A 27,122-nucleotide genomic window follows, 5' to 3' on the forward strand; every position below is an offset into this window, starting at 1 on the left:
CTGACCAATAGGGCTGAGAGGAGGCTCACAGAGGCTGGTCATTGAGCAGCTGGAGGGGACAGGCTGGCGAGAGGGAAAGCATTGCGTTCTGGGAGTTGTAGTGTTCTCCCTCCTTTCCGGATGTTTTTGCAGGGTTTTTCAAGCTGCAGAACTTTTGACCCGATGCAACGACCAAATTCAGAGGATGGTGCTTTATAACGCAGGGAGATGAAAACATAAAAGCAAATCATTTTTAAGATATATCCAAATCAGAACTGCCCTCCAGTGGCATCCTAGTGTAAAAGTGGATTTTGAGAATCTATAGGATAGAATATAGAACTACAGTACCTTAGGGAAAGATTAGTTAAAAACCCATTTGCTATCTGATACCGTTGCCTGACGAACTCCATAAAGACATCGCCGCAGAGAAGGATGAAGTGAAAAAAAAAATCTGTGTTTACCCTGCCCCCTAGAGACTTCATCGTGTGTTATACAAATTTTGGAAACCGTTACTACTCCATCTTACTTAATAACAGGTAAATTAAAGGCTTTCTGGTCTTATAAAAAGATCACAAGATCCTTTTAAGTAACTTAGCTTACTGAACGATCAGCTCAAGAGGGGAAAAAGTGTTTCACGTCACTTTGATTAAATATCAATCAGTAACTAACAGCAAATCTGAAACCATAATGACTAAAAGATCATCGCACGTCCAAATTTGTATGTTTGTTTTCAGTCCGTCGTGGTTGGCTTTTTCTTATATTTCTAGTTTTATTTTGAGATATAATGTATATACAGTAAAATGCACAAATCTTAAGTGTACAGCTCAGTGAATTTTTACCTGTGCTTACACCCATGTAACCACTCTGCACAATAAAGAGCAAGCCCATTGCCCCAGCATGTGTTTTTAATTTTACTGAACAAGAAGCTGAAATACTGGATTGCCCAACATCAGACATTTGATAATTCTTTATCTGAAATTTCAGCCAACTATTAGCTTATGTTTTAAAGTCTTCAGGACTCACTATGTACTGATAAATATTCTAAGAATAATCTGCCTAAACAAAATATATAGGCCATCTATTTGTGTGGGTATATGTATTTCTAGTTATTATTCAGTTTATAGTTACTGTATGTTTTGTGCCATCCTAGTGGGCAGATAAATCGATCCTTAGCCAAAGCAAAAAGGCTGTCATTTGACTGCTTGCTTTTATGTTTATTAACGGGCAAAAAAAAAAGAAAATTCTAGAATAAAGATACTGTTTGCCGTTATATAGCAAGAGGTAATTACTGATTTATTAAGACTTTTTACTCATAACTCTTATTTTATGAACTTATTGGACAGAGTACTGAGATATCCTCTGCTCTGGAAACAATTTGAAATTAACACTAAAAGAACCGGGAAGCTTAGTTCAAACTAGCAAAGAAGTCGAGTCATTTGTAGTAGAAAGTCCAAAAGAGTGGAAATCTGAAAACCACATCTTTGATTCTCACACTTTTTTCTGGGCTTGTTTCCTTATATACAGTATAAGATGAAGAAACTGAATTAGAATATCTCTGATAATCTGTCTTACTCTAACATTCCATGAGCTAATGGCAAATTTGGAAACTATGTAAAGACAATTCTATTTAATGAATTAATCATGCCATGGTCTTTGATAAAGACTTGATTTGTCCCAATATAATCATCTTCAGCTGTGAAGGACACACCGCTATTTAATTGGTGTTTCTCCCTTCTTTCATTAGGGCATGAAATCTTTAAGCAGAGGAAATGTATTTCCTTTGTTATCCCCGACACCTGCAAACTGCCCAAAATCAATCAGGTTGTTGCTACAGAAAAATTAGGGGCATTTGTACATATCTCATAAAAAGTCCAGCTGAGCTTAGCCCGTAGTCCTCCTCTATCCTGATTCAAAATTAAAAAGCACATATAATCTAATAAAGTAGTGTATCTACAGTTTCCATACTTGGGTCACATTCCTGCTTTCCTCCATTTCAATTTTCTTTCCACCCTAGACTTTAATGGACTCAAGCCCATCTCCAAGGCTGCCTAAACGCTAGGGGGCTCCCTGGAGAGCAGAGTATACAGGAAGAGAATGGAAAGAAAACAAGATTGCAAAGAGATTGCAAAATAGATGTAATACTGCCATTTTTCTATGTCCTCAGGGTCCAAAAAATACCCAAAGACACAATACAAATCCATAATAAATATTATTACAAGAAATTATATATACCTTTGTTCAAACTAATGAACATTATATGTTGCAAAACATTTCAAATAATACCCTGTAATTAATAACTTGTTTAGGCACTCAGGAAAGTGCCATAATTCATTAGCAGTCCTTTGACATTTACTCAAAGGCCACCAAAGCTTGGAGGTGAGCAAATCTATGCCTCCAGGTGTCACAGCAGCTCAAGGAATAATCTGTAGGCACAGGCTTGCCCTAACCTCACAGTTCTGCAGTGTGAAGTCAGAATCTTCAGATGCTGTAGCATCTAGAGTTTCAAGCACCAAGACAGGCAGATTTGGTTACTCTTTCTGGCTGCTCTGTATATTACCTGCACGACTAGGCAACTTACTTAACCACTCTGTGCCTCAGTTTCTTCACCTTTCAAATTAGGTTAGTAGTATCTAACTCAAATGTTTAAGTATCCAGTGAAGTCATAACAGATGTAAACTACTGAAAAAAGTGCCTGGTATGTAGTAAGCATTAAATAAATGTTAACCATTGGTAGTGGTGGTGAATGGTAGTTGGAGAGGAGTCAAGGGATAGGAGAAGGGGAGGAAGCACTGTAGTGCATTCTGAAACAATTCAGACAACCAAATTCAAACCCCCTTCCCACTTCCACCAAAAAACTTACAATACAACCAACCCAGACACTTCCTTGAGTGGGACCTTTTTCTGCTGGAAGTCCAATTGGCTAAAAAAAATAACATAGGCAGGGTGTTGTTTGGCTCGGATTCCGACAGTGTTGGAAGCCATCAGATGCATTTACTCCATGCTCAAAGAACATTATGGAATACTAAATGGACTCCTTTATAAAACTCTTTTAAAAGAGTCTGGTCAGCCGGCACAGTGGCTCACACCAGTAATCCTAGCAATTTGTGAGGCCGAGGCAAGTGGATCACCTGAGGTCAGGAGTTCAAGACCAGCCTGGCCAACATAGTGAAACCCCGTCTCTACCAAAAATACAAAAAAATTAGCTAGGCATGGTGGCCGGCACCTATAATCCCAGCTACTTGGAAGACTGAGGCAGGATAATCGCTTGAACCCAGGAGGCGGAGGTTGCAATAAGCCAAGATCACGCCATTGCACTCCAGCCTGGGTGACAAAAGTGAAACTCTGTCTCAAAAAATAAATAAATAAACGAGTCTGATCACCTTTCTTGTCTCCCTTTTGCACTCTTCTGTTGCTTCCTGGAGTCCTTCCGGTTAGATATGCTAAAAAGAGCCGGAAAATCCAGGAGCCAGACAGAGAACATCAGTGATCATGATTTTCCCATTAAATATAACAACACAGTTGGCTTGCCAACAATTAGTGATTCATTGGTATTTGCCAAGGTTAATTTCAGTAATCTGATTTCTTAGTCCGTAAGAAGTCATCCCCATTCTTTTTCTTTCTGAGAGATAGGTTCACTATGCTGCCCAGAATGGTCTTAAACTCCTGGCCTCAAGTGATCCTACCACCTTGGCGTGAGCCACCATGCCCAGCCCCCATTCTTTTTTTTTTTTTTTTGACGAAGTCTCGCTCTGTCGCCCAGACTGGAGTGCAGTGTGCAATCTCGGCTCACTGCCACCTCTACCTCTCGGGTTCAAGCAATTCTCCTGCCTCAGCCTCCCGAGTAGCTGGGATTACAGGCAGGCGCCACCATGCCCAGCTAATTTTTGTATTTTTAGCAGAGACTGGGTTTCACCATGTTGGTCAGGCTTGAACTCCTGACCTCATGATCCACCCACCTCGGCCTCTCAAAGTGCTGGAATTACAGGTGTGAGCCACTGCACCCGGCTGAGCCCCCATTCTTAATTGTACAAGTCTTTACTGATGCTCTGAAGAGCTTTGCTTCAATGCTTAGAACCACAGATTTGCAGAAGGAAATGATTAAACACAAATTGAGTGAATATGAATATAGCATATGAAATGCTCTGATAATAACTCCATTCTGTAAATCTGTCTAGATTTGTTGTAAGCATGCATTTTTAAAGATACAGTCCCTTAATGTAATAAAATGATGTACATTGGCATGGTAGGGGAAAAAAGAAATAAATGTTTTTAAAAATGATGAAGAGCTTTAGCCATACCAAACAATCAAATATTAGTTAAGCATCTGTAATCTGTATACCTAATTCTGTCCTGGAACAAAGACTTTTAGATCAGTGCTGCTGGATAGAAATATACAAGACACATACATAATTCTAAATTTTATAGTAGCCACATTTTAAAAAGTAAAAAAGAAACAGTTGAAATTAATTTAGTAATATATTTAACCTAACATATCCAAAATATTGCCATTTCAATATGTAATCAATATTAAAAAGTGTTGAGAATTTTTTCTTTTTTCTTTTTCTTTTTTTTTTTTTTTTTTTTTTTTTTGACAGGATCTTGCTCTATCACCCAGGTTGGAGTGCAGTTGCTCAGTCACAGCTCACTGCAGCCTCAACATCCCAGGCTCAAGCAATGCCTCAGGCTCCCAAGTAGCTGGGACCACAGGCATGTGCCACCATGCCCGGCTAATTCAATTTTTTGTAGAGATGGGGTCTGGCTATGTTGCTCAGGCTGGTCTGGAACTCCTGGCCTCAAGCAATTCCCCCACCTAGGCCTCCCAAAGTGCTGGGATTACTTTTACTCTTTTTTTTTTCCTTTTTGCTGTCTTAAAAATCCTGTGTGTACTACCCCCATCTCAATTCAGACTGGCCATATTTCAAGTGTTTCATCACTACATGTGGATATTGACTGCTACATTAGACAGAAAGCTTTAGAGTATAAAAATCTCTCTTGAAATAGTTTATGATTTAGCTTGAAATAATAGTAACCATTCATTGAGCATGTACTATGTGCCAGACACTTTGCTAAGCACTTTATAAACCATAAAATCTCATTTAATTTTTACCTCACCTTGTGAAGTGGTCATTTTTAATCCTCATTTTACAAGTGAGAATACTAAAGTTTAAAAGATCTCAGAATTCTGTACTAGCAAGAGGCAGGGGTAGGATTTGAACCCAGATCTTTATTACTATACCAAATAGCATTTAAGAACAAATGAGGGCTGGGCACGGTGGCTACGCCTATAATCCCAACACTTTGAGAGGGCAAGGCAGGTGGATCACCTGAGGTCAAGAGTTCAAGACCAGCCTGGCTAACATGGCAAAACCTCATCTCTATAAGAAATTAGCCAGGCATGGTGGTGTGCACCTGTAGTCCCAGCTACTCCAGAGGCTGAGGCAGGAAAATTGCTTGAACCTGAGAGGCAGAAGTTGCAGTGAGCCAAGATCGCACCACTGCACTCCAGACTGGGCAACAGAGTGAGACTGTCTCGAAAAACAAAAAAACAAATGAATATGTTAAGGTTCAAACGTAGAATCTGATCCTTTACACTCAGTAGAATTTACTTCAATATTAAGTGAACAGGTATTTCTTATTTTAAAATATTTTAATTGAGTTAAAAATATGTGATATGGGCATAGTATAAAACATCATATTTATTAAAAATAACATATAAATTTGCACTGATTGAGGGAAGGCTAATGAGAGGAGGGAGTATTTGATTTGAGGATCAAAAGTGGGCAATATTGCCTCTAGAGAGATGTGGCAGCAAGGACATTTTAAGTAAAGGCAGACATGGCCAAGCCCTTAGGAGATACTAATGTGACTAGAATGAAGGGTCCACAGGAAAGGTGAGTACAGGGTACGACTGAAAGCAGCTGGGTACATTGGGCCTGACTCTAGAGGTCACAGCCAACAGAATAAGTACACAGTGCCTGATTTAGTAGGAAAAAGGGAGCCATTGATGGCTTTTGAGCAAAGGAGAGACTATCAAAGTTGTGCTTTAGGAACATTAATCTGGCCAGAGCATGTGTAGAATTAATTATTTCAATCAAATAAAAGGAAATGAAGCTGGGGCCAGGCTCAGTGGCTCATGCCTGTAATTCCAGCACTCTGGGAGGCTGAGGTGGGTGGATCACCTGAGGTCAGGAGTTTGAGACCAGCCTGGCCAACATGGTGAAACCCTGTCTCTACTAAAAATACCAAAAATTAGCCGGGTATAGTGGCGCACGCCTGGAATCCTAGCTACTCAGTAGGCTGAGACAGGAGAATCGCTTGAACCCAGAAGGCGGAGGTTGCAGTGAGGCAAGATTGCACCACTGCACTCCAGCCTGGGCAACAAGAGCGAAACAAAAAACAAAAAAACAAAAAAACAAAAAAAAGCAAACAACAACAACAAAAAGAAATGAGGCCAGGAAAAGTTGTTCAAAAGTGGATCAGAAAGGAAAGGATGAGGGCAAGACATTTCAGAGGGAAAACCGACAGATAGAAAAGCTATTTGGATAGAAGCAGGAGTGAGGGAAAAGGAGGGTGATATGGTTTGGCTGTGTCCCCACCCCCGAATCTCATCTTGAATTGTAACTGGCATAATTCCCACGTGTTGTGGGTGGGACCTGGTGGGAGATAACTGAATTATGGGGGCAGTTTCCCCCATACTGTTCTGGTGGTAGTGAATAAGTCTCACGAAATCTGATGGCTTTATAAGGGATTTCAGCTTGCGCTTGGTTCTCATTTCTCCCTTGTCTGCTACCATGTAAGATGTGCCCTTCACCTTCCACCATGATCGTGAGGCTTCCCGGCCAGGTGGAACTGTGAAGCCTTTAAACTTCTTTTTCTTTGTAAATTACCCAGTCTTGGGTATGTCTTTATCAGCAGTATGAAAACAGGCTAATACAGAGGGATAAAAATTATATGTAGGTAGCATAAATTAGACACAGTGCCTCGAGGGCTTACAGAAAGCATACAATGTTAAAGATCTTTATTTAGATCTTTAGTTAGAATGAAGAGTTGTTTTATAGTTAACACAAAGGAAAAGAAATTTCAGAGACAGTCAAGTCTCCCAAAACATCGGTAGTCAAAGGAAGAATTCAACCTTGACATTTAGTTTCAAAACTTTGGCGCCGGGCGCGGTGGCTGACGCCTGTAATCCCAGCACTTCGGGAAGCCGAGGCGGGCGGATCACGAGGTCAAGAGATCGAGACCATCCTGGCTAACACGGTGAAACCCCGTCTCCACTAAAAAATACAAAAAACAATTAGCCGGGCATGGTGGCGGGCGCCTGTAGTCCCAGCTACTCGCGAGGCTGAGGCAGGAGAATGGCGTGAACCCGGGAGGCGGAGCTTTCAGTGAGCCGAGATGGCGCCACTGCACTCCAGCCTGGGCGACAGAGCGAGACTCCATCTCAAAAAAAAAAACTTTGTCTGGGACAGTATAGAAAAGGAAGAGAAGTTGTATTTTGTTGAATTTTAAAACAAAGTACCATATACAAAGTATGTCTCAATAAGGGAAAGTATACATAAAGTATGCCTTAATCAAGTTTATTCTAAAAACCTAAGCAAAGGAAATAAATAAAATTATAAAAGCCTCATGACTGCATCTGGTTAGAAAGGGGGCTGGAGAGCCAATGCTCCTTGAAATGAGTTGAATATTTCTTTTAATTGTTTCCATGTTATTTGCCTGAGAAACTGTAGCTCCTATCCACAGCATTCACACCATCAGTGTGATAGGCTGATAGAAGCCAGGGCTTGGGACAACTGAATCTCATTGTATCCTTTACTCACCGAACATTTGACAACACAGGAGCAAAACCTGAAAGATGCTTGTGAGGCACTGTGAGATACAAGCTGCAGAAATGGTTGTATTGATCAATCACTTGCCCTTCAGAGAAATATAATAAAATCATCCTTCCTATCCCTCACCTCAAATCATACCCACAGTTCCCTTCCAGCATCTTACTACATTCTTCCAGGTCAATTTCAGGAATCTTTAGATAAAAAGAAACACAGTCCTTCGTTACTGTTCTTCCAGCCCTCCTGTATTCTGCTGGTTTTAGAGAGTGTAGAAAAGCTGTTGGAACTCTAATTTTACATTTTATGTACTATAAGGATCAAAACAAAAATATCTGAGAAGCTTAGAGATCTAATGTTCACCTCTTTTGCCCAGCCTTTCACTGGATTCTTTGATGAGCCTCCAAAAAATATCTCTGATCTGAAACCAAACCCAGATGGAAATTTTTCCTGGCCTCTGTCCATCTGGTCAGCCACCTGTTTCTCTGTTAATACAGGAAGGGGATATGAGAAAACTGAAGGTGTTGGCTCAGAGCCTGTAGAGGTCTGGGGAAGGTGGCTTTTAAAATAATCATTCTTTATTCACTGGCATGCTTCAGTGCCACCTTCATTACTTGGAAATGCAAAGTACTCCAACAATATTTATTAAAAAAATAAATGAATGTCAGAGTACATATTAAAATTTCAGAGCTGGAAGTCACCTTACAGGCCATTTAGTCTAAAGCTCCATTTCATAGTTTAGATAACTGAGGTCCAGAAAAATCGATTACACTCTAAAATTAACATATTTAAAATGAAATGTTTTTTAAAGGTAGAGAAATACTCAGGACAGAACAAGACCCTCAAAGAAAAGTAGATTTGAGCAAATCATACTTTTAAGATTCAAAAATACATTATTGAAAGACTAAATTAATGGACTGGGTGAAAGCAGAGCATACTTATTTGAAAAGAGATAAACTAGGAGATGGAGCTGAGGAAATTGCTCATGAGATGGCAGAGTGGGGGAAATGGAGATATAATATGAAAAATAATTTAATATTCTTTGCTTAGGATTTATATTTTATATCCCTATAAATGCAAAAAACGATGGTAAGCAAATAAATTGGTAAACACAAAGGTAAATCTAAGAAAGTCTTGACTGTAAAAATCAATACTAATAATAATAACTAGAAGGCCGGGCGCAGTGGCTCACACCTATAATCCCAGCACTTTGGGAGGTCGAGGCGGGTGGATCACGAGGTCAGGAGATCGAGACCATCCTGGCTAACACTGTGAAACCCCGTCTCTATTAAAAATAACAAAAAAAATTAGCCGGGCGTGGTGGTGGGCGCCTGTAGTCCCAGCTACTTGGGAGGCTGAGGCAGGAGAATGGCGTGAACCCAGCAGGCGGAGCTTGCAGTGAGCCCAGATCACCCCACTGCACTCCAGCCTGGGCGACAGGGTGAGACTCTGTCTCAAAAATAAATAAGTAAATAAATAAATAAATGATAATGACTAGGCAGAGAGTTAAAAACTAGATGTAAATAACTAGGATTGTCTTGCAGTATTTTTTTTTCAATGATGGAAAAGTTCTGTATCTGCTCTGCCCAATCTGGTAGCCATTAGCCACATGTAACTATTGTACATTTGAAATGTGGCTATGCAACTAAGGAAAATAATTTTTAATTTTATTTAACACTGATTAATTTAAATTTAAATAGCCACATATGGCAAGTAGCTATTGTATTAGCACAGCTTTAGACAATAATAACATGGCAAGTGACTAGAGCCAATCAAAGTTAAAAATCTAAGATCTTTGTATTATTTGGGAGGAGAATGCAGATTTTGAAGGCAGTTGTTTGTGTTAAAAATTTAAGGATAAAGCCTAGAAAAATAAAAAGAGAATGTATCATTTCTAAAGTAGTAGAGGAAAAGGAAACAAAGAAAACACTATAAATAAACAGAAGATAGTAAGAGAGGTGGAAAAAATTAAAGAAAAGCATGGTAAGTAGAAAGCACAAGAAATACAATGGAAATAAATAAGCAATGAACTAGTTTATTTTTTGGTAGAATACAGAAGTTTAATGGAGCTACCATATGAGAACACTGGGTGAAAATATCAGGTAACAAAAGATATACACAGTATTAGGCCTTTTTATATAAAGTTTCAAAACATACAAACTTACTATTTATTTTGCTAACACAAAAATATAGCAAAATATAACAATATTCCTGGGATGAATGACACAAACCCACTCATAGAAGAGGGACAAAAGAAGGGCAGGTCTTTGGTTGAGTATAAATATTTTATTTAAAAAAAAATACTTGAAGCAAAATGTTAACATATACAAAATCTGGGTAGTGAGTGTGAGTTTCAAACCATTTTCTGTTTGAAACTGATAATAGTTTCAAGCTATTATCTTTTATAAATAAAAACTGAAATTCAAAAGGAACACATTAGGCCAAACTATCCAAATACTTTCCTCTTTTCTTTGTGTTGGATTATTTCTATCTGACTGGTTTAGATCTTAGGAATTAAACTTGGTTTCTTGTTGATTAGGAAAGTTCTGTCCACAAAATAATAATCTAACATTTTATTAATGCCCTCCCCACAGCAGAGGACTAAGGAGCTGGATATCCCATTTCCTGTTTCCTTAGAATAGGGTGATGTGGTTTAGATGTTTGTCCCCTCCAAATCTCCTATTGAAATGTAATCCCCAGCCCAGGTGCAGTGCTCGTGCCTGTAATCCTAGCACTTTGGGGGGCCAAGGCAAGTGGATCACTTGAGGTCAGGAGCTCAAGACCAGCCTGGCCAACATGGTGAAACCCTGTCTCTACTAAAAATACAAAAATTAGCCAGGCGTGGTGGCACATGCCTGTAATCCCAGCTACTCGGGAGGCTGAGGCAGGAGAATCACTTGAATATGGGAGGCGGAGGTTGCGGTGAGCCAAGAATGTGCCACTGCACTCCAGCCTGGATGACAGAGCAAGATTCTGTCTCAAAAAAAAAAAGAAAGAAAAGAAAAGAAAAAAGAAATGTAATCCCCAGTGTTGGAGGTTGGAGGTGGGGCCTGGTAGGAGATGTTTGGATCAAGAGGGCAGATCCTTCACCAAATGGCTTAGCACCATGCTTCTGGTGATAAGTGAGTTCTTGCTGTGATCTGGTTGTTTAAAGTGTGTGGCACCTCCTATCTGTCTCTCTTGCTCCCACTCTCGTCATGTGATGTGCCTGCTCCCCCTTTACCTTCTGCCATGATTGTAAGCTTCCTGAGGCCCTCACCAGGAGCCAAGTGGACATTTGTGCCATGCTTGTACAACCTGCAGAAGCATGAGCAAATTAAACCTCTTTTCTTTATAAATTACCCAGTCTCAGGAACTCCTTGATAGCAACTCAAAAATGGACTAATACATGGGGTTAGCAAAACCTTCCCATGCCCCCAGTGGATACCTGAAATGGCAGATAGTACAAATCCTATATATACTACATTTCTTGCTATACATATGATAATGTTTAATTTATGGATTAGGTTCAGTAAGAGATTAAAAACAATAACCAATAATAAAATAGAAAATTATGATATACCAGCATCACTACTCTTACATTTTGGGCCAGCATTAAATTTAATAAGGGTTGTTGTAGGGAAGTGTGGGGCTCCTTGGTTCTTGTCTTCTCGACAAAAAGAATTCAGCCAAGAGACCAATTAGTGAAGCAAGCAAAAATGGTTTATTATGGAAATAAAAGTACACTGTAAGAGAGGAGTGGGCTGACCTGGCTGGGAACAGCCCCAAGAGTTCTGCAATGCAGTTTTTATTACGTTGGACTTTTTGTTTAAGTTCTGGCCTCTGTCTCAAGCCTTTGTCTTTGTCTAGTTTCCTGGCTTCTGTCTTAAGTCTCTGCCTTTGTCCCCATCTAGTTTCCCGACCAGGCTTATGGGACCCTCCCTTACTGTTGGTTAATGTGCATGATTGGGGCCCAGCGATCCATATGAATCCTACCTAATGGCAGTGTGTCTCATAACCACCACCCCAGGAAGGTCAAATCTGTACTTATTGCTCATGTGTATCTCTTAGGAATTCCCCTTTTGCTCTTTTCCCCCTCCTATTAGCATGTAGCTAGCTACTTTCTGACAGTTTAACCACAGAATGAACGATTGCTGGGCTTTTTTTTTTTTTTGACAGAGTCTCTCTCTGTCGTGCCCAGGCTAGAGTGCGGTGGCGCAATCTCGGCTCACTGCAACCTCCGCCTCCTGGGTTCAAGCGATTCCCCCGAGTAGCTGGGATTATAGGTGCCCGCCACCATGCCCGAGTGCGATCTCGGCTCACTGCAACCTCCACCTCCTGGGTTCAAACGATTCTCCTGCCTCACCCTCCCGAGTAGCTGGGACAACAGGCACACACCACCATGCCCAGCTAATTTTTGTATTTTTAGTAGAGACAGGGTTTCACCATGTTGGCCAGGATGGTCTCGATCTCTTGCCCTTGTGATCCACCCGCCTCGGCCTCCCAAAGTGCTGGGATTACAGGCGAGAGCCACTGCGCCTGGCATAATTTTTTGTATTTTTAGTAAAGACGGGGTTTCACCATGTTGGTCAGGCTGGTCTTAAACTCCCGACCTCAAGTGATCCACCCGCCTCAGCCTCCCAAAGTCCTGGGATTACAGGCGATTACTGGGCATCTTAAGGGGAGTTTCAGGGTATTCCTTTTTGCATACCTTGAAGAAGTAACATTTCTCAGTGTCCCCTCAAGGAGGGGACATTCCTTTCGGTATTTCCCCTCCTCTCTGCTCATATTTAGCATGCATGTTTCAGGCAGTCTCTGAGATGCTAGATTTTCCAGCACTTCCTCCTCCAGGGGCTCCCTCTCATGCTCACATCTAACCATCTGCCTGTTCTAACAGGGTTACTTGAACACAAGCACTGCGATACCTCAACAGTTGATGTGATCGCCAAGACCCTGTTAAGTGACTAATGGGGGGTAGATACACTGGGCAAAGGGATGATTCACCTCCCAGGCAGAACACAGGGAACAGCAAGAAACTTCATCATGCTGCTCAGAATGAAGGACAATTTATTATGAATTATTTCTAGACTTTTCCATTGAATATGTTCAGGCCACAGTTGACTGTGAGTATCTGAAACCAAGAAAAGCAACACTGCAGATGAGGGGGGACACTTGTATTCAACTCTGTTCTATTAACGGAATTAGTGAGTACCCTTAGGTGCCATTTTATGGCAGTAGAGGAGGAGGAAAGAAGAGACAGAAGAAAAGGATAAGGATAGAAAGGGAGAAGGGGAAAGAAGGAGAAAGGGTTGTGGTAGAGGGCTCCCAATTGCCTTTGCTCACACAGAAGCCGCCAGCACCATATCCCTATAAATGACAGTTGGATGGAACAACCTAGTCTTCTTGCTTTGACATTTTTCACTGGGTGCTTCTTTCATCATATTGCAATTAGTGTTTACATGCCTGTTTACTCCAGTGAACCATGTCTTGTTCTGCTTCTTACCCTGAGCACTTAGCCCAGTGCTTGACACACACAGAGTAGGCCTTAATAATGTCTGTTGAATTAACACTGAATACACAACTTCAGATCTTAATTGATTTCTTGCCCTCTTGTTTCCATTCATACAGCTTCCTTTTGTTCTGTGAGCCCTCCCAGCCTTTCTCTTTTGCTTCATTGAGTTCATGGTCCCCCTTTCAGGCCCTCAAAATTGTAAACCTTTATGCTTTTCCTTTTTTTTTTTTTTTTTTGAGACTGAGTTTCACTCTTGTTGCCCAGGCTGGAGTGCAATGGCACCATCTTGGCTCATTGCAACCTCCGCCTCCTGAGTTCAAGTGATTCTCCTGCCTCAGCCTCCCGAGTAGCTGGAATTACAGGCATGTGCCACCACATCCAGCTAATTTTGTATTTTTAGTAGAGACAGGGTTTCTCCATGTTGGTTAGGCTGGTTGCGAACTCCCGACCTCAGGTGATCCGCAAGCCTCGGCCTCCCAAAGTGTTGGGATTACAGGCGTGAGCCACCGCATCTGGCACTTTTATGCTTTTTCCATTTTTGGCTCTAAGTTGGGACACTTAAACTAGTTCTAGGTGGCCCACAGAGTGCCTTCTTAGGAAGACAAAGGAAACAGGCTGGGGACAGTGTCTGGGAACAGGAACTTTCTGGGGCCCCAGAAGTATCAGTATCACCAATTCCTGAGCCTGACTTTTTTTACTTTGTGAGGGGTTTGACAGGGAGCTATGGTTGAGAGGATAGAGGAGAGGAATGTGGCAGTTCCTGATACCAAGTTTTCATATCCTTCCCACCGCTTTGTCCCAGGCCGAAGCATAGAGGCCTACAAGCATTCCCTCACACCCAGCCCTGGCCTGCCAAAGCCAGCCCTGGTCTTTGTGGTAACAAACTTCTCTCTCTTTCCCTCCCCCTTTTTTTTTTTTGAGATGGAGTTTTGTTCTCGTTGCCCAGGCTGGAGTGTAATGGTGCAAACTCGGCTCACTGCAACCTCCACCTCCAGGGTTCAAGTGATTCTCCTCCCTCAGCCTCCCAAGTGGCTGGGATTACAGGCATGCGCCACCACGCCCGGCTAATTTTGTATTTTTAAGTAGAGATCGGGTTTCACCATGTTGGTCAGGCTGGTCTCAAACTCCTGACCTCAGATGATCCACCTGCCTTGGCTTCCCAAAGTGCTGGGATTACAGGTGTGAGTCGCCACGCCCGGCCACAATCCTCTCTTTTCAAAAGAAATCAGCTGTGCTTACAGCTGTGGGTGGGGTGGTGCTGTCTTACTAGAGCAAGAAGTCTAGCCTGGCAAGATATTTCTGTCAACTGCACTGTGGGAACCAATCTGTTCTGTTAAGTTGTAGCTCAAGGGATTTTCTCATGAAGACATGGGGTGCAATGTCTCCTGGAGGCCAGCTGGCTCACCTTGGGCCCATTTCCTCATTGGCCAACCAGCATACAAGACCTGCTCACCGGGCAGCAGTGAGCTGCTTGACAGCCATATTGAGGTGGAGGCAAGTAAGGAGGAAAGCTGAATGTCAGTGAGATATTGGCACAGTCTTCGTACACTACAGTGAGGCAGATACGTGTGGGCAGAGCCACCTGTGGCTTACTTAGAGGAAGGCTGCTATTTGCTTCAAGAGAGGACAAAACCAACAGGTCCATACTTATCTCTCCCTGTCAGCAGATTTGGGTGGCTGTGGCTGGCCAAGGACACAGCCATGAGATAGACTCATGAGACAGCCAGTCTCACTGGGCTCTGGACAGGACTTGGGTCTCTGGATGGGTCACAGCCTGGGTGAATGACAGCCAGGAGAACAACTCTCTGGTTCCATTCCTCCCTGCCTTAGGCTCTAGCTTGAGCAAAGTGGTAGCAGAGCACAGGGGCCTAGGACATTAGCAAGTTCAACTATATTGGAGCCTTCACAGAAGCATGTGTTTTTCTAGGAGCATCCCTGATGAGCTCCAGCAGTTAAAGGAGGATGAAAACAATAGCCTCAGCAAATTCTGCAGCAGTTGGGGGCATCCCTGGGAGTCTTTTTTCAATAACATTGTCCCTCACCTATTGCATGACCAGCCACTCTCTGAAATAAAGGTAGAAATAGGTGCAGGATCTTTCAAGTTGAGCCTGGCTAAGTGAGGTCCACCCTGACCCTCCCATCACCCACTGGGGTTGGAAAGAAAGAAGAGGAATCCTCCAAACTTACCGACCCACAGCCTCCAAACTGCCCCAATAGGAAGGCTATGCAGCAGGAAGGAGTTGTGAACTGTGAACTTTCACATAGCACAAAGGACTTGCCCAAACACTATGCTAAGAGACTTGACCAGACTTCAGCCTGGCTTCTGCCTACACTAGACTGTGTCCCTGTCTTAGTCTGTTTGTGCTGATATGACAAAATGTCTGAAACCAGGTCATTTATAAAAGAACAGAAATTTATTTCCACATAGTTCTGGGGGCTGAGAAGTCCAAGATCAAGGCATTAGCAGGTTCAGTGTCTGGTGAGGGCCTCTGTCTTTGCTTCCAAGATGGTGCCTAGAATGCTGTATCCTCACGTGGCAGAAGAGCAGAACAGCGAAAGGGGGCTAGTTACCTCCAGCCACTAATAAGGTCACTAATCACATTTTATAAGGTCACTGATCACATTTATGAGAGCTCCACCATCATGACTTAATCACCCCCTGAAGGCCCCACTTGTTAGTGCTATCACATTGGTGATTAAGTTGCAACATGTGACTTTGGGGAGACATTCAGACCACAGCAGTCCCTAAAGGTGGCCCCAGCCCCTGTGCGAAGTCTTTGCTCAGAAAAACACAATGCTGCTAAGCTGCAAAATGTACTGTGTCCCAACCCACTTTGCCAAACAGTTTTCAGTAATTTTCCACTCACTCCTTCTGTAATTTTCCATTTTTCCCAGACTTTCTTTGTCCTCTCTTTTTTTTTACTTCCCCATACCCCCTTTTAATTACCTCTATGATCTCCCTTTAAATGTCCCATTTACCATTGTCTTAGTTGGAGGTGAGCTCAGTTTATACTAAAGTCTCTCTTCAATACTGCAGTGGTTCGAATAAAATATCTTTCTTTAAAAAGTGACTGATGCTCTTCTCTTCAACAAGACCAATCTGGAATTTCCACCAATGGCCTCAGCCCTCATGCTCCCAGGCCAAGAAATAGTGGGACCATCCCAGGCACAACAGTGGGATCTATATGGGGTCTGCTGAGCCCCAGCAGAGATATGACACAGGCTCACTATCATGGAGAAGCCAGCCATCAACAGGCCCCTGAAGATAGTTGACCACAACACTGCCCTCCTGACCTAATCACCTCCCCAAAAGCCCCACCTCTTAATATAATCGCCTTGGGAGTTAGGTTTCAACACATGAATTTTGAGAGGACCCACACATTCAGATCATAGCACCATTAAACAACAACTTTGCCCCCTGCCCCTAGCCCCTGGTAATCACCATTCTACTTTCTATACATACATACGAATTTGATTACTTTAGATACCTCATATTATTGGAATCATGCAGTATTTTTCCTTTTGCAATTGGTTTCACTTAGCATAATGTCCTCAAGTTTCATCCATGTTATAGCATGTGACAGGATTTCCTTCATAATAGACAGGCCACATAATATTCCATCGTATGTATACACCACATCTTGTTTATCCAGTCATCCATCAGTGAACATTTGGGTTGTTTCCACCTCTTGGCTATTGTGAATAATGCCGCTGTGAACATTCTGTATCTCTTGACATTCTGTTTTCAGTTCTTTTGGATATATACCCAGAAGTGGATTGCTGATCATTCTATTTTTAATTTTTTGAGTACCCACCATACTGTTTTCCGAAGATGATGGGCATTTTTATTATTGGTGAATACCCTGGACTTAATATAATGCCTAGGCATAAAGGAGACCTTCAAATGCTTTTTGAATACATAAATAATAACAGAAGAGACTAAGGGTAATAAAAACACAGACTTAGGCCTCTCCACCGTGACCTTTTTTAGCTAAGGCTTAGCCATAATCATTAAAAGCCCTGATCCAGAGGCCTATCTATTCCACGCTTCAAAGCTGAGACAGAATGAAACATAAGAGCCAAGTGCAGTGGCACATGCCCGTAAATTCCAGCACTTCAGGAGGTTGAGACAGGAGGAACACTTGAGGCCCGGAGTTTGAGACCAGCATGGGCAACATAGCGCAATGCCCCGTCTCTACAAAAAAAAAAAAACATTTAATTAGCCATGGGTAGTGGCACATGCCTGTGATCCCAGCTACAGCTACTTGGGAGGCTGAGGCAGGAGAATCACTTGAGCCCAGGAATTCAAGTTTACAGTGAGCTATGATCGCACCACTGCACTCTAGCCTGGGCAACAGACAAAGACCTTGTCTTAAAAAAAAAAAAAAGAAACACAATTCATTTAAGGATCTTTTAATTAAAATCCTACATTTATTTTCCTTTTGTTCACTTTGTTATCTATCCATTTCCTTTATTAAATTTTTAAATTTCTTCTAACAGAAAAAGTATTGATGCCAGTTCCAATAGTTACTTTCCTGCCCTTTGGGGCAGGACAGTTCGATATGTGTACCTCCAGAAGCCCCAGCACACATTAGGAAGCCATCTTTGGTCCAGAACTTCTCTATCTGTGCTATCTTTCAGCACCTCCTCAAAGTCAGGCTGGTTTTCCAGGCGATAGCACAGATGGCATCCACAACCTCATAGAAGGCATGCTCAGCAATAGATCTGTCTACCCCAAGGAACTTAGCAGCAAGACACAGAGGCACCAGGGAGGCCAGCAATGCAACCCAGTAGCTACTTTCTGAGACACAGACAGAGGCAATTTTATGTGGATGGTTTTCCTTTGAAGATGTGTGGCCAGCTTTTCAAAGATAAAGTAAAATGTCTCCTTAGACATCAGGAAGGTTTGCCTCCAACTGTCGGGGATGTCTGCCCACTCAGAGGTCCTGCTGAAGATGGGACAATGTGGAGAGAGCTCTGGTCCTGTGGGCTCTAAGAGATCAAGCATCTGGCTCTATGAACAGAGAACAGATGACCTGCTTTGGTTCTCCAATATTGATTCAGTTTGACCTGCATGGTCTGGGCCAGGGAAGCCACCTGCTCAGCCTCTTCACTCTCAGCCACAAGCACAGCAGCAATGGCTCTCCTTTGCAGGACAGCTTGTGCAAGATGTTGCAGTCCCCCCTGAGCTTGATGCTGAAAGCATGCTTTGAGGGTGGTGGAGGCCTTTGAGTTGAGTTGGGTACAGTGATGTGTGAGTGTGTGTGACTTTCCTAATAAAAGTCAATGAAATTTTCCCCCAGGTAACCGTGGAAGCTCAGGGTTGAGTTAGTTGATGAATATCAGGCCTTCCATTATGAAGTGAATGCAGGTATGAATGAAATTATATCTGTGTAACCACACATCAGTATCTTCCCTCCATGTTCTTACAGAATCAGTCAGCAATACAAGAGCCAAAGTAAAACAGCTCAGAGAAAATAAGACTCATTCTTAGTGTGGATATCATTCTTTTCCTCACACAGACTTCCTCTCCTTAATGACCCCTTCCTTCTAAAGGACTTTTCATTTTTCCTGGCCTTCTTGTAGCAGGACGAGCCACAGACAGAGCTCCTCAGACACGGAATTAAAGAAGGAAGGAATTTATTCGGCTGGGAGCATTGGCAAGACTCCTGTCTCAAGAGCCAAGCTCCCCAAGTGAGCAATTCCTGTCCCTTTTAAGGGCTCACAACTCTAAAGGGGTCCACATGAGAGGGTTCTGATGGATTGAGCAAGCAGCGGGTATGTGACTGGGGGCTGCATGCACCAGTAATCAGAACGAGACAGAACAGGACAGGGATTTTTACAATGCTCTTCCATACAATGTCTGGAATCTATAGATAACATAACCAGTTAGGTCAGGGGTTGATCTTTAACTACCAGGCCCAGGACGCGGCGCCGGGCTGTCTGCCTGTGGATTTCATTTCTGCCTTTTAGTTTTTACTTCTTCTTTTGTTGGAGGCAGAAATTGGGCATAAGACAATATGAGGGGTGGTCTCCTCCCTTATTCTGACTCTCTTCACCAAGCAAACACATTGGCAAAATTCTACAGAAGTCTCTCCCACACACTAAAATCAAGGAGTGCCCTGAAAAACCAAAATAAGGGCCGGGCACAGTGGCTCATGCCTGTAATCCCAGCACTTTGGGAGGCCGAGGCGGGCGCATCACCTGAGGTCAGAAGTTGGAGACTAGCCTGACCAACATGAAGAAACCCTGTCTCTACTAAAAATACAAAAATAAAAATAAAAAAAAAATTAGCCGGACGTGGCGGTGCATGCCCATAATCCCAGCTACTAGGGAGGGCTGAGGCAGGAGAATCCCTTGAACCCGGGAGGCAGAGGTTGCAGTGAGCCAAGATTGCATCATTGCACTCCAGCCTGGGCAACAGAGTGAGACTCCGTCTCAAAAATAAAAATTAAAAAAAAAAAAATTGGCAAAATTCTACAGGAAGTCCCTCCCACACACTAAATTCAAAGAGTGCCCTGACAAACCAAACTGCTTCACCAGTTTTACTTGCCCTGATCATCTAACGTCCCCCACAAGCAGGCACATGAAGATGGTTAGTTTTTTGTTTTGTTTTTGTTTTGTTTTAAGACAAAAAGCCAAGACCTTTTTCAATCTCGGGTTTCTGCCTTTTAGTTAAAAAATTCACTCTATATTTCAATCTATTATGAGGAAGGACCTGCTTGACAGGAGTGAAAAAAAAATCAATTATTCCTTAAAGTTTTCAGAAAGAAAAACCACATGGAAGAATAGACTTTAACATTAGCATTGGATATTTCTAGATCTCAGCGCTCTCACATTGCCAAGTCACTTGGAATGTCTAATCAGCTGCCTAATGGAGGAACTGAGACTGCAAAGCATTCTTGACACACCACTGCAGTGCTTTCTCTTTCATACTGCAGTGCTTTCCTGCTGTTTCTTACTTAATGAAAATCTACTTCCATAATATCATGATGTGTTTTTTGAGCTGCTCTTTCTCTAAGAGCTGGTGTCCATCCTAGGTGGGGCTAGGAGTCAGAAGATGCATGCATATTCTAGCTCCAAAGGGTGTGTGACCTTAGGAAAGTTACCCTCCCTTTCTCTGTCCCAAGTGTTCTCCTTATAAAACAAGCATGTTGGACTCACCTAATCCTAACTAAGGCCTTTAGTTGCTGTAACATCTTAAAATTAATTCAAAAGACCAGATCTCACAGGATCTCTGCTAAGATGGCTATAACTTGTCGTCTTAGAGATTGTTTCTAAGGTAGTAAAATAAATACAACGTGGTAAATATTATGAACTCAGCAACGCATTCCACAAATATTTATTGAGCCCCTTTAATGTGCTAGGAATTATGACAGGCACAGGAGATGAAGTGAGACAGCCATTATAGATACTAAATCTCATGTTCGTTATCGGATCAGCAGCTTGGAAAAAGAATCAGTACTTTGTCATTTCTTTCTAGGTAGCTGTTTGTGACTGGAAAGTCTGTGCTTGTTATTGCTGGCAAATTCTTGACGTGGGCAGGACTGCATATTCTGGCACTTAGGACTTTAATGATTTCCATGAATCTTTTCATGTAGTAATTAAACATATTTCCTAAAATTCTATCTAGGTGGGAGTCACTGCCACCACCTTGAGACTTACTGTAGTCTCATTGTAATAGTATGCTTCCTGTCTACCTGTCTGAAAAATTACTCTATTACTGGACTTTTTGGCATCTTCCACTTGAAAATGACAACTTAGCCAACCGACAGTGATCAAGAGGAAATGAGAGTTTCTGTTCTCCTTTCTTTGCCTTATGATTTCTTTTGATGTAAGACATCATGATCCGACTTTAGCAATACCGCCTCTTCATCGGGCTCACAACTCTGTGCTACATGAATTCCTTTGCTTCCTCCTTAGTTATTAACTCAAGTTACCATCTTAGATGGCAGGCCTTTTCATAAAGCCACTTAAAGTCCCTCCAAGCAGTGCTAGACTGCTCTCACTGGACCCCACCAGGAGAGGTGGAGGTGGAGGGGAGCCTTAGGCTGATTCTTCCCCACCCCATTTTCTACCTAGGAGCAAGGCCTGCTGCTGCTTTCTATCTGTTCATTGGTTGAGACCTTTCCATCTGTTAATTGCTTGGAGAAAAGAGGAAGAAAAACAAGGGATCTTGGCCCCTGCCCTCCTCTTAAATCGCCATCCCCTACCCCCAACACCTTAAAAAAATGATAATAAAGTACATGAAGACAGTTTGAGAGCTTTAGGTTTCCCACTGAGGTTTGGAGCTTCTCTCATGGGAACCGGTCCCCAGGCTGCATTCACGAATTGCTCTCATCTCCATTCTCCCACAGGTTTGTTCTCCACCCGTACCCCCCACCTCGCCCGGCTATCTTACTCCCTGCGATTTCTATAGGAAAAAGTGTGTTCTTGGCAGGGCGTGGTGGCTCATGCCTGTAATCCCAACACTTTGGGAGGCCGAGGCGGGCGGATCACCTGAGGTCGGGAGTTCGAGACCAACCTGACCAACATGGAGAAACCCTGTCTCTACTAAAAATACAAAAAAGCCAGGTGTGGTGGTGCGTGCCTGTAATCCCAGCTGCTTGGGAGGCTGAGGCAGGAGAATCGCTTGAACCCGGGAGGCAGAGGTTGAGGTGAGCCGAGATCGCCACGGTACTCCAGCCTGGGCAACAAGAGCGAAACGCCGTCTTAAAAAAAAAAAAAAAGTGTGTTCTTAAACTGGAAAACCTCGGTATGTCAAGGCCTGCACTTCATGTGTCCGGGCCCAGATGAACTGAGGACTGACCTCAAATGCCTCGCTCACCTGGCTCCCAGCTCACCTGGGAGAAGCGTTTCTGTTCGCGGAACCTGAACTTCAGGTTCGGAGACGAGGAGGTGGCCGTCCCCCGTCCCGCCCCCAACCCGATGAGGGCGTTGTCAGCCAGGGGGCCTGCCAGGTGTTCACCCCTATCCCACGGACATCCTGCATTCCTGGCCGCTTGGCGCCCCACGGACCGATGGACAGACAGCACTGCAGCCACAGAGCGTCGCACAGTAGCCACCGCGCTGGCCCCGGGCCTCCGCTCACCTCCCTCCCTCTCCCGGCCTCCCCACTCTCACTCCTTCAGCTACCTTCCCCTAGCTTCCTCCAAGCCTCCTTCACTTTTTTAAGTAACTTCCTCCTCCTCCCCGTTTCTCTCCCTGCCCCTCCCCTCCCCTTCTTTCTATGATTTCCAGCTTAGAAAAGTTTCCAAAAGGGTCCAAGGAACTCCCATCTGCCCTTTTCCCGGATTCACCAATTGTTTCCTTTCTCTCCATATTCAGACACTTTTAATAACCTCAGGGATGGTCCCTCCCTCACTCCCCGGGACACCTGAAGGATCTCTCTGCGTCATCTGTTGTTGAGGGGCCTGCACTTCCAGACACAGAAAGTTGACTTTAGAGTTAAAGAATAGTAAACTGCATTTACAGCTCTTGGGAACTTTTTAAAAAGAAGAAGAAGAAGAAGAAAGTAAAAAGAATAGTCAATTGCAAATGTCCCCCAGAGGAGGTAACACATGACTGCAGGGTATCATTTTTGGATCTTAGATACCTGGGCTACCTTGCTGCTATTAACACCTAAAATGAATGAGTTTAGCAAACTTATTTCAAGCTGACTCTTAGCTGAAAGCATATCCTTGCAGCAAAGGAGTTGATCTGCAGGGATAGGTCAGGGGAAAGGAAGAGACCAGAGAAAGAAAGAAAAAAGTATCCAGTCTAAAAAACAAAAGTAAAACAACAGCAAACCATTAAAACCACATGTTCTGGCTTTCCACTTCCTGTCTTTGTAGTAAAGATTTCCCTGAGTGAATACAAAACAAAATTCACAGACCTGATATTCCTTGGTGTGGCAAGTTGGCTGCTAGAAGACTTTGACTGGTAGAGAAATAAATGCTTAAATCCGACCTGCAACAAGATTGTTCTGGCTTTGTCAGCAGGCTTCTTGACCTGTTGCTTCTAGAACCAGCTGTGTGGCCTCCAGAGTCCCTTCCTTCTCTGTGAGGAAGGATGTGGACTGAAAGACTATTGGCACCTGCAACACTGAATACTCACAGGGCAAGCTCATGGCTTGTGGACTCAATTCTGCCAGGGTAACTGTTTTGTTGTAATTTTTAAAATTAGTTGATAACATTAAATTTTAGGAGATTGCTTATAAAAATCTGGATTTCTGGCCGGGTGCGGTGGCTCATGCCTGTAATCCCAACACTTTGGGAGGCCGAGGCAGGTGGAAAACGAGCTCAGGAGTTTGAGACCAGCCTGGCCAAGATGGTGAAATCCCGTCTCTACTAAAAATACAAAAATCAGCCGGGCGCAGTGGCGGGCACCTGTAATCCCAGCTACTCAGGAGGCTGAGGCAGGAGAATCACTTGAACCTGGGAGGCGGAGGTTACAGTGAGCCAAGATCGCTCCACTGCACTCTATCCTGGGCGACAGAGCAAGACTCCGTCTCAAAAAAAAAAAAAAAATCTGGATTTCCAGCCTTTTGAAAAAAAATATGCTTTTTGTCAACACTGGGCCGATATTTCCCACGTATCAGCAAAAGACAGTTATTAGACACATAGACACAGTCCTTACCAAGCCAGATTCACACTTTGCTACCTGCCAGATCCCTCTAGGCATTTGGGAGTGAGGGGTTCTGCTCCTCCTCAGCTCTAACTCCGTGCTAGTGGGGGGAGAGACATAATAAACAAGTAAACAAATACATATGATTTTTTACAAAAATTATAATAAGTTCTATGAAAGAAATAAAGCAGGGAACTGAGGCAGAGGCAGCATTCTAGGATAGGTAGGATAGGTGATCAGGGAAGGCTTCCCTGTGGAGGTGACTTTTTTGTTTTGAGGCAGGGTCTTGCTCTGTCACCCAGGCTGGAGTGTGGTGGTACAATCATAGCTCACTGCAGCCTTGAACTCCTGGGTTCAAGCAATCCTCCCACCTGAACCTCCCAAGTAGCTAGGACTACAGGTGCATGCCATTGCACATGGCTAATTTTATATTTTTTTGTAGAGATGGGGTCTTGCTCTGTTGCCTAGGCTGGTCTCAAACTTCTGGCCTCAAGCAGTCCCCTACCACCACGTCCCAAAGTGTTGGGATTACAGGTGTGAGCCACCGTGCCCAGCCTGGAGGTGACCTTTAAGCTGAGATCTGAATAGTGAGACGGACCTGGACTAAGTGTATCTGGAGAAGAGTGCTCTATGCAGGAGGAACAGCAACTGCCTTAATATTGATGACTCTTTGTACCATTAGGGATGAGTATCTGAACACCTTCTAAGAGTTAGGTGGTATACTGCTTTTTGTTTTTTAGTTTTTTTGAGACGGAGTTTTGCTCTTGTTGCTCAGGCTGGAGTGCAGTGGCACGGTCTCGGCTCATTGTAACCTACACCTCCTGGGTTCAAGCGATTCTCCTGCCTCAGCTTCCCAAGTAGCTGGGACTACAGGCGCATGCCACCACGCCCAGCTAATTTTTTGTATTTTTAGTAGAGACGGGGTTTCACCGTGTTAGCGAGGATGGTCTTGATGTCCTGACCTCATGATCCACCCGCTTCAGCCTCCCAAAGTGCTGGTATTACAGGCATGAGCCACCGCGTCCGGCCTACTGTTTTTATATCTAAGTAGCATGGTCCATGATGGTCAAGGCCATTTATAATGGGGTTATGCATCTTACCTAACTGACCCAATGACTATGTCTATAATGTAGCAATCCTTTCCTTTAATAGAGCCGAGACCCTCTCCCCAATATCCAACATTCATCCCTGCCTCTGATTTTCTTTTTGCTCTTCTCTGACCTAAAATACTATTTCTCTCTTTTGTCCTTCAAGGTTTAAAGTTCTATCTCCCCCATTAAGAAAGATTATTCAGTTGGAGCTGTTTAGTACCTTGACTGTAATAGTGGATAGGTAACACTACATAAGTGATACAATTGTATAAAACTTAATACATACACACACACACACGAATACAAGTAAAACTGGGGAAATTGGAACAACATCAGTGAGTGTGTCAATGCCAATATCCTGATGGTACTATCATACTACAGTTTTACAAAATGTAACCACTAGGGACACTGAGCTAAGTGTACAGGGGAGCTCGCTGTATTACTTCTTTTTTTTTTTTTTTTTTTGAGACGAAGTCTTGCTCTGTTGCCAGGCTAGAGTGCAATGGCACAATGATCTTGACTCACTGTAATTTCTGCCTCCCAGGTTCAAGCGATTCTCCTGCCTCAGCCTCCTGGGTAGCTGGGATTACAGGTGCATGCCACCACACTCAGCTAATTTTTCTATATTTAGTAGAGACGGGGTTTCATCATGTTGGCCAGGTTGGTCTCGATCTCCTGACCTTGTGATCTTCCCACCTCGGCCTCCCAAAGTGCTGGGATTACAGGCATAAGCCACTGTGTCTGGCCTCTGTACTATTTCTTATAAGCATGTGTAAATCTGTAATTACATCAAATTTTTAAAATGAATAACCAAAAAATTATATTTCTCATAGAAACAGTCTTATTATTTTTTATTAATTTTTTTACAAAATAGATTTTTCAACTGGTTCATGAAAATGAGCAAAATGTATTGTCTAAATAAAGCCATACCAATTTTTCACCTTATGAGAAATGGAAGTTAGGTTCATTTGGAATAATCTCTTCTCAATGAAAACTTGTTGGTGCCTAGCAATGACTTCCCTTTTTTTATGTTTATAGGATGCCCTTCAAGAACTTTGCCCAGGACTCTGGCATCTATGGTTTGCAGAATCAACCTTCTTCCCCTTTTCACAAAATGGAATAGTGTGTACCCAGCCACAGTCTTCTGGCGTCTCTCCCCGGCCCCACAGTCCCTGAAAAGCTGCCAACAGTCTTCTCATATATAAATTCTGTTGGTACCCCAGCCGGAATTTGTCCAAGCTTGGAGACATAAGCTCATTGAAAGCTAGGCATTCTCATACAATACCCCATTTATTTTGTGCCTCAATGTCTTCCTGCTGATATTTGTATGAAGAACATTCAACTTTAGAAAAGTTGGAACAGGGAAGCTGGTGTTTAGAGGTGGAAGCCAGTAAGTTCCGGGTGCAAATCCAGATTCTTTCATTCTCCAAAGGTCTGATCTTGGGCTAGGTTATCCAATTCTTTGAACTTCAGTTTGCTAATCTGTAAGATGGGAATAATAATCGCTATTATTATTACTATTAGGTTTCAGGTTGTAGTGAAGATTGAATAAGATAATATTTGTAAAAATGCAGAGCACGAATGGATAGTAACAACAAAGCAGGTGAGATGAACAGATCTGCTTCCTCATAGATATGGGGATTAATGGGATTTCAGAGTTGGAGAGCACTAGAGAAGTCACCCAGTCCTACCTCCTGCTCAGCGAGAGTGGTACTCATGAGCCAGCACATTTCAGCATGAACCAGCTTCTCCCTGTCACCTATCACCATCCCATTCGCTCCTCAACAACATGCCTGTACCTTCCATCCCCCATCAAAACCTTTAGAAGGCCTTTTCTCTGTGCCAGTACTTTAAACCCTTTATCTCATTAATCCTTACAACAACCCTGTGATACGTTTTTAATGTTCCTTTTACAGCTATGGAAACTGAGGCTCAGAGATATTAAGTAACTTATCGAAGGCTACACAGTTAATAAACAGGATTCAGCCCAGGTCTGTCTGTAACCAATGCTCCTACTCTTTTCTGCAATATTACATGGCCTTTAAAAAAAAAATTCTTATTTTTCTCAAACAGCTCATTCTTGGCTTTATCCATTTTGTCAGCTGTCCTGAAAGTCCCTCTTTTAGGTGT

The 27,122-nt window shown here is 42.9% G+C and overlaps 1 long non-coding RNA gene across 1 annotated transcript, besides 8 other annotated features; it reads right to left on the reverse strand.

The window, feature by feature from the left end:
* Positions 45-244: an enhancer, noted in NCBI's record as "active region_24671". NCBI's record gives its function as "activates an Ori minimal core promoter by ATAC-STARR-seq in GM12878 lymphoblastoid cells {active_cell/tissue: GM12878}" and the evidence as "EXISTENCE:reporter gene assay evidence [ECO:0000049][PMID:35858748]".
* Positions 2,324-2,393: a silencer, noted in NCBI's record as "silent region_17279". NCBI's record gives its function as "represses an Ori minimal core promoter by ATAC-STARR-seq in GM12878 lymphoblastoid cells {active_cell/tissue: GM12878}" and the evidence as "EXISTENCE:reporter gene assay evidence [ECO:0000049][PMID:35858748]".
* Positions 11,761-11,980: an enhancer, noted in NCBI's record as "active region_24672". NCBI's record gives its function as "activates an Ori minimal core promoter by ATAC-STARR-seq in GM12878 lymphoblastoid cells {active_cell/tissue: GM12878}" and the evidence as "EXISTENCE:reporter gene assay evidence [ECO:0000049][PMID:35858748]".
* Positions 14,811-14,880: a silencer, noted in NCBI's record as "silent region_17280". NCBI's record gives its function as "represses an Ori minimal core promoter by ATAC-STARR-seq in GM12878 lymphoblastoid cells {active_cell/tissue: GM12878}" and the evidence as "EXISTENCE:reporter gene assay evidence [ECO:0000049][PMID:35858748]".
* On the reverse strand, positions 15,689-23,355 carry LOC124901329 (uncharacterized). Its single transcript, XR_007059609.1, has 2 exons — positions 23,171-23,355; positions 15,689-17,491 (listed from the first exon to the last, which is right to left on the reverse strand). It is a non-coding gene; the product is annotated as an uncharacterized LOC124901329 (long non-coding RNA).
* Positions 15,956-16,250: an enhancer, noted in NCBI's record as "tiled region #10632; HepG2 Activating DNase matched - State 5:Enh". NCBI's record gives its function as "activates a minimal TATA promoter and a strong SV40 promoter by Sharpr-MPRA in HepG2 cells {active_cell/tissue: HepG2}" and the evidence as "EXISTENCE:reporter gene assay evidence [ECO:0000049][PMID:27701403]".
* Positions 19,216-19,510: a silencer, noted in NCBI's record as "tiled region #10484; HepG2 Repressive DNase matched - State 5:Enh". NCBI's record gives its function as "represses a minimal TATA promoter and a strong SV40 promoter by Sharpr-MPRA in HepG2 cells {active_cell/tissue: HepG2}" and the evidence as "EXISTENCE:reporter gene assay evidence [ECO:0000049][PMID:27701403]".
* Positions 21,166-21,235: an enhancer, noted in NCBI's record as "active region_24673". NCBI's record gives its function as "activates an Ori minimal core promoter by ATAC-STARR-seq in GM12878 lymphoblastoid cells {active_cell/tissue: GM12878}" and the evidence as "EXISTENCE:reporter gene assay evidence [ECO:0000049][PMID:35858748]".
* Positions 25,318-25,387: a silencer, noted in NCBI's record as "silent region_17281". NCBI's record gives its function as "represses an Ori minimal core promoter by ATAC-STARR-seq in GM12878 lymphoblastoid cells {active_cell/tissue: GM12878}" and the evidence as "EXISTENCE:reporter gene assay evidence [ECO:0000049][PMID:35858748]".

This window comes from Homo sapiens, chromosome 6 (genome assembly GCF_000001405.40).
Source record: "Homo sapiens chromosome 6, GRCh38.p14 Primary Assembly".
In the NCBI taxonomy this organism is placed as follows: Eukaryota; Metazoa; Chordata; class Mammalia; order Primates; family Hominidae; genus Homo; species Homo sapiens.